The following is a 6987-nucleotide window of genomic DNA, read 5'->3' as shown; positions in this document are numbered from 1 at the left end:
GGTGAAACCCCGTCTCTACTCAAAACACAAAAATTAGCTGGGCATGGTGGCACGTGCTTGTAGTCCCAGCTACTTGGGAGGCTGAGGCAGAAGAATCGCTTGAACCCGGGAGGTGGAGGTTGCAGTGAGCCGAGATCGCGCCACTACACTCCGGTCTGGGTGACAGAAAAAAAAAAAAAAGAAAAAGGAAAGGAAGAGATGGTGTGAAGGAAAGAAGGAAGAATAGCACTTCTACCGACTCAGAGCCAGGCACTGGGTCTGATACTTTACATACAGAGAATGGTTTGAGCCCCAGAGCCACACACAGCATGACTTGGTCCCCTTCATTTGTGAAGAAATTGAGATTTGGAGAGGTTAAGTTACTCAGCCAGTAAAACCCAGTTCTGCCGACGGACAGATCTGGCGTCTGTGCTGTAGGGCTTCTGCCATTCCAGGACTCACGCTATACTCCCAGTCTGAGCCTCTGCAAATGACCCAGCCTCCCCATCCAGAGCTCTACGGACTGAAAAAGATGAAGCGTGGACTTTGAAGGACTTCCTCAGGTGAGAAGCCTACAGTCGTACAAGTGGAGTCCCAGCTCACCGAGGCGCAGCTGGAACTGACCTACCGATGTAAACTGATGTGAAAACAATGCCCTGGAAAGATATTCAGGCCCCCTATTCTCCTTCCACTTGGTGGACAGTGAGGTCCAGAGGGAACTGCTGAGAACCAGGAGACCAGGGTTCCACTCCATGACCTTCAAGAGTCACTTACTCTCAACACACCTCAGTTTTCTACTCTGGGAAGTGGAAAATAATATTTATTAAACCCTTCCAAACCTGTTAAAATACATATTAGACGTGAACACCTCTTTAAAAGAACACTACAGGAGGAATGCATAACGTTTGCCTCAGTTATGATTGCATCTCATGCAGTCATAAGGCCTCTGTTTTGCGTGGTTTCACATTCTTGTGAAGTAGGCAAGGTGGGCATTTGTTTCCCCATTTAGCAGATGTGGAAACTGAGGCCCAGGAAGCCCAAGTCGCATGGTTTTTAGGTGCGGGGAGAGCGCGTGCCTTCCCTCCCTGCCACATCTCGCACGTGCCTGTTCTTTGTCCAGGCCCATTACCCACCTGGAGCATCCTGAGATGTGGGGGCTGACAAGGCTGCGTCTTGATCCACTTACGGTCCAAAATGTCACTGGAAGAGGCTGCCAGCTGTGACCAGATGTTGAGAGGAATCAGGAAGAAAGCAAGTGGCTGGCCATACACAACCCATGATCACTCATCGGGAGGAAGAGCTACTAAAGGCACTTACGCTGCTGGTGGCAGGGTGTAGTGTCACCTTCAGACAAGAGGGGGAAGTGAGAAATGGGAGCACCCCTCAGTCAGGGTTCAGCAAGGGAATTTACTACCTCAGTCTGTGAGTGTTGGTTTCATTTCCATGGAATAACATTTATTTCAGTTTGATGGATGAGGCGTAAATCAACTCTGATGCCCACCTCTGTCTGTATATGTGGGCTGTGATGTACTGTTTCTTTAAAAAAAAAAAAAAAGTTGGAAAGGTAATTCTTCCCAGAGCTAGATTAATGATTGCACGTCTCCTATTACCACGGGCTTGTAAGACCAGGATTGACAGCTGTTTTAGTGCTCTCCGGCTGGGAGCGGTTTGTTTAACAAATACAGCAGGACACACATGATCCCCTGGCTGCCTGTTTTCATTCCCATCTCGTAGGATGGCATTGTGCCCACTCACAAGCCAGCAGCTCCCTGCCCTTGGGCAGAGGTGCCAGGGAATTGTGGCTTAAACTGGCACCAAGTGGTGCACGGAGGATGTTCTGCTTTTCCTTCTCCTGCAACCCAGGAACCCTGTGTCCTCTCCACATGTGTTTCCACCAACCTGGCACCTGAGTATTATGACAAGACTCTGAACAGATGACACTATTAACAATAGTGGGTACTGAGAATTTGTCATGGGTCAGGCATGGTATTGAATACGCCCTTTACATTTTCTCTCTCATTTGAGCTTCATAGCAACCCTTGAAGGTTTGCAGAGGGGTAAGATCATTACCCCCATGCTATAGAGGAAGCAGTGAGGATGCAGAAAGTTCCACTAACCTGTCTGGCATCTTATAGTTGTAAGTGGCAGAGCTGGAAAAGACCCAAAGGGCAGGACCAAAAATCTCCCAAGTGGGGAAATTTAAATGGCTAAGAAAATATATGTAAAAGTTGAAGAGTAGAATCAATAAATTCAGATGAAAGCCTCACTAGTTTATCATGTCAGCTTTCAAATTAGCAAACAAATAAATGTTTCTCATGACAATATTCAATGCTGATGTGGTAAATCACAGGTGACCATAAATTCTTTGACACTCCTAAGAAACAAGGTCTCGGCCCGCTCCCTTGAACTTTGGTGAGCTCTGTGGTGCTTCGACCAACAGAATACAGTGGAAGTGATGCTGTGCCTTAAGAGACTGGCAGGTTCCACTTCCCATCTCTGGGAGCCCTGGCTCACTGGGTGGCACCCAGAGTCTGACTGCCCGGTGGGAGAGACCTTGTGATGAGGCCCTGAGAGTGCATGAGCAGGGGAAGGGAGTTATAAGCCCGGCCTTCCAGCCATCCCTGCCAGACTGCAGGCATGTGGGGAGGCCAGCTTGGACCCTCTGACCAGCGGCCGACTCAACACCACCAAGAAACCTCAGTCAATGCCATGTAGGGCAGAAGGACTGACCGGCTGAGCCCTGCCTGAATCCCTGACCCATAACATCGTAAGAGAATAAAATGACTGTTCCTCGAAGTCTTTTTGGTTTGGGGCTAGTTTGTTCTGCAGTGGTGTGTAACTGGAAGAGCTGGGAAGCTGAAGTGTTGCAAGCACTCTCAAACCCAATGGGGCAGTGCATGCTGGGGCACACTTTCTAGAAAGCAATTTGGTAATATGGATCTAAGATCCTAAATGTTCATTTCTACTGGTTCCCTAATTCTCTTTTGAGGAATCCATTCTAAGCAAATAACTCAAAATATAGACAACATTTCCCACATTAACATTAAATTAGAACCATCCAAATGTCAAACATAATGAAAATTTAAGTTCTAGTGCAAACACTGTCACATTCTGTAGTGTTTTTTTAAGTTTTTAAGAGTTTTTAATGACAGTGGAAAAGAACTCGAAACTGTGTATTTAATATGGGTTTATCAATGTTAAAAATACAACATACAAGCATACTATAAGGATATATACCAAAAATAATAATCAGAACTACCTCTAGGTAATGGGATTACAGTTGACTTTTTTCCTTATTGTTCAAACCTTTTTCTACTTTCTAAATTATTTATAATGATACTGTATTACATTTTTTAATCATAAAATAAAGTAAAAACAAAAAGGAGAAAACTCTCTTAATTAATACTAAGAATACTGAATGAAAATGGGCCTTTGGGGTGGAGAAAATGTTTCCTTCAAGTACAAGGTGTAAGGTATGCAGGTTGATGTTCTAAGAAATAAACTTGACTTTCCAAGGACACCGTGAGTTTACATTTAATCTGTAAAGGTTTGAGCTTGAGAGATCGTGTGAAGCTCTACAAGCTGGGGAGAGCTGCTGGGTCCAAATGTCCCCTCCTTCAGGAAGCCCCGAATCCACGGGTGCACCTCATCGGGAAGTGACCCCACTCATCCCAACCCAACTCTGAATTTCTGAAGCACTTGACTGGTCTCATTCATTTGACCAGGTTTAGTGAAAATTGACTCCCACCAGGCCCTGTGCATGGCACAGAGGATATGAGTGGTCGTCTCTGTTCTTGGTTTCAAGGAACTTACGATCTAGTCCGCAGGCACTCGTTACTTTGTAGGTGGCACTAGTGGCTGTGTCCGTGGCTTGTCTCCTCCAGCAGCCTGGGAGGTACCCGAGGGCGGCAGCATCCATGTCAGTCTCTCTTCAGTGTTCCCATGGCACCCAGGGCTGGCGCCGGGCACATAACAGGCACCCTCTGGGTATCTGTGGAAGTAACGATGCGGTGAATGCCCCACCCACCTCTCTGTGATTGTTGCTCGAGTCAAATGCACTAAAGTCCATGCAGTGTTGTATATATGGAAACTAACATACAAACAGAAAGGACTCGAGTTATTAATCACAAGGACCAAGAGCGACTGAACATTCCACATAAGAGGGGAAGGGTTCTCTCATTTGCATTTTTCTGAGAAGCAGTTCTGCCTGCTAAATAAGACTTTCTTGTTCCAAAAATTGGAAACAGAGAAAACAGATCACTGTCTCCAAGATGTCAGCAGAAGCTGATCAGAGCACACCTCCCCGGGCTGGAGTGCCCTGCGTGTTGTCCTGTGCTAGCAACCCTTAGTAACAGCCTTGGTGGAAAGGGTAAGTGTCATGAGCAAACCAAGGACCCACCGGACCCCGGGCACTATTGCATGCCAAAGAGAACACTTATTTTCCCTTTGTTTCTGTGGATGTTTTTAAAGGCAGAATCCCTACTCATTGTTTTCAATCTAATTGATTATGAAGAGATTGCTGGATCAGAAAAACTCACAGAAGAGCAGATGTGGGGCAGTGGCCCTCCAGCTGTAATGTGCCTAAGCTTCATCTCAAGTATCTGTTCACAGTGCAGGTCCCAGACCCATGCCCAGAGACCCTTACTCAGTGGATCTGGATGGGGTGAGGATGGGATATGAGATTCCCAGGACCTCAGCTGGAGAAGCCATGATATTGGGGTGTGCTGATTTGGGGCTCTCCAGAGCTAAGCTGGTTAGAGGGATGTGGCTCTCCAGAGCTAAGCTGGTTAGAGTGGTGGGAAATGAGTGGGGTTTTTCTTGTGAGATTTCATATGTTCATTTATTGGTTTATCCCTTTATTCATTTATTTTATATAAACATTTATTTAAAGTCAATAATGTGGCAAGATAGAGACCGAAACAGCCCATTGGAGGTCACTGGCAAGCTAAGGGAGGTTTCTGGGGCGTAACGAGGGCAGAAGGCAGATTGCCGTGGGCTGAGGGAGTGGGAGGTGAGGAAACGGAGCCCCTGGGTGCTGGTGATGCTTACACGAAGCTCGGCTGCAAAGGGAGGAGAGCGTGTGAGAGAGAACAAGAGTGAGACAGAGGAGGTGAGAGAGGAGAGAGAGAGGGAGAGGGGAGAAGAGAGGAGAGAGGAAGAAGAAAAGGGAGGAAGGGAGACAGAAGAGGGATCCAGAATGTTTTGAAGATGCTAACTGGGCAGTGGCCTTGTGTGTGTTAACTGTTGATGGGAAGGGGCCAGTAGGAAGGGTGAGGCTGATGGCCCAGGAGAAAGCAGAGATGGCCCCTGGAGCGAGTCCAGAAGGTGGGATGAGACAGGGTCCGGAGCTTGGGGGAGGACTGGCTGGCGATGAAGAGCTGACCTCTGACTTAGCACAGTGGTTAAAGAGTGGTCACCTCCTGGCTCTGCCACATGCTACGTAAGCGCTTGGCCCCGGGCAGGTGTCAGGAGGACACAGCACGGAGTGGACATTCCAGCGGCGAGAGGCACTCACATGACCAAGAAAGCCTGAGTTGTGGCACACAGCCGAATTAGCCCCAGCTGTGGACAGTCCGGCATCTCAGAACTCAGTTACCAAAGATGCTGTGATTTATTCATGGCAATTCAGAACAGGGGCCCACAGAGGGCCACCTGCCCCCTGTTCCTGCAGAGCTGTGTTGGCTGAGCCATGCCCATTTACCTCCATGTTGTCTGTGGCTCCTTTCTCTCCAAGCTGCAATAGACTTGTGGGGATAGAGACCATATGGTCCCCAAAGCCTCAAATATGTACTACAGAAATACGTGTTGCAGAAGAGCTTGCCAACCACTGAGTGAGAATATGCAAGGACTCTGGGCAGCTTGATTCCAGTGCTGTCTCTACACGGATGCCTGTGTGCCCTGGGCAGCCTCCTGGTCTGTAAGATGCAAGAGCAGGAGTCCTCCCAACAGCATGTAGGCAGTGCTCACTGTGTCCTCACTCAGCTGGGCACTCTGTCTGATATGGACTGGCTGTATCTCCAACCAAATCTCATCTTGAATTGTAGCTCCCATAATTCCCACATGTTGTGGGAGGGATCCAGTGGGAGTTAATTGAATCATGGGGGTGGTTTCCCCCATACTGTTCTCGTGGTAGTGAATAATTCTCACAAGATCTGACGGTTTTATAAGGGGAAACCCCTTTCGCTTGGTCTCTCATTCTCTCTTGCCTGCTGCCATGTGAGACGTGCCTTTTGTCTTCTGACGTGATTGTGAGGCCTCATGGAACTGTGAGTCCATTAAACCTCTTTTTCTTTATAAATTACCCAGTCTCGGATATGTCTTTATCAGCAGCGTGAAAAGGGGCTAAATACACTGTCTTCATCTCTTGGCATGCTCGCAGCCAGGGTGCCCAGCCATCCTCATCACCAGCTTACAGACTGAGGCCACAGAGCCCTGGCAGAGTCTAAGCCACCTGCCCAGTGCCCTGCAGGAGAAGCCGAGTTTCTGAGCCGGTGCTCTTCATGGCTCTCCTGTGACATCCACCCTCAAGCTCGGGGCCCTACATGCCGCTTCTCTGGAGGTGCTCAGGGGTGCCCACAGCAGGAGAGGAGGAAGCTGGGGGCAAGACCTGGGCATCCCTCTTTGCTCCCACCAGGGTCGCTCCACTTTGATCCGTTTATAGCCTGGATTTAAGCATAAACATCACGTGAAAGAAGGGTCTGCAGGCCAGCTGGGCTCTCAGGCTGTTTCCAGGAAAAGAAATCTGTCTATTTTCAGGGCCCCCAGCCAGATGCCTTGAGCCGTGTGTGCTTCCTCTCCCTCATCCCCACACCCAGTCACCCACCAGCTGTTGACTTTACTTGCAAAATATCTCTTTATTTAAGCTGCATCACCTCTTTCCCGGACTATGGGCCCATCACCGCTCTGAAGGCTCAACCTGCCAGGACCACATGACTCCCGACTGCTCTGCAGCTACACGGGCACACGTCCACCCCAGGCAGCAAACCTGCATTTTGGTCACTTGGGACG

General features: G+C 48.6%; 1 long non-coding RNA gene across 1 annotated transcript; it reads right to left on the bottom strand.

Moving 5' to 3' along the window:
- Positions 1-1000: 1000 nt before the first annotated feature.
- LOC105378545 (uncharacterized) lies at positions 1001-3961 on the bottom strand. Its single transcript, XR_946439.2, has 3 exons — positions 3793-3961; positions 1297-1323; positions 1001-1196 (listed from the first exon to the last, which is right to left on the bottom strand). It is a non-coding gene; the product is annotated as an uncharacterized LOC105378545 (long non-coding RNA).
- Between the last annotated feature and the right edge of the window lie 3026 nt (positions 3962-6987).

The sequence above is a fragment of the Homo sapiens genome, chromosome 10, assembly GCF_000001405.40.
Source record: "Homo sapiens chromosome 10, GRCh38.p14 Primary Assembly".
In the NCBI taxonomy this organism is placed as follows: Eukaryota; Metazoa; Chordata; class Mammalia; order Primates; family Hominidae; genus Homo; species Homo sapiens.
This window is presented reverse-complemented; position numbering and strand designations above follow the sequence as displayed.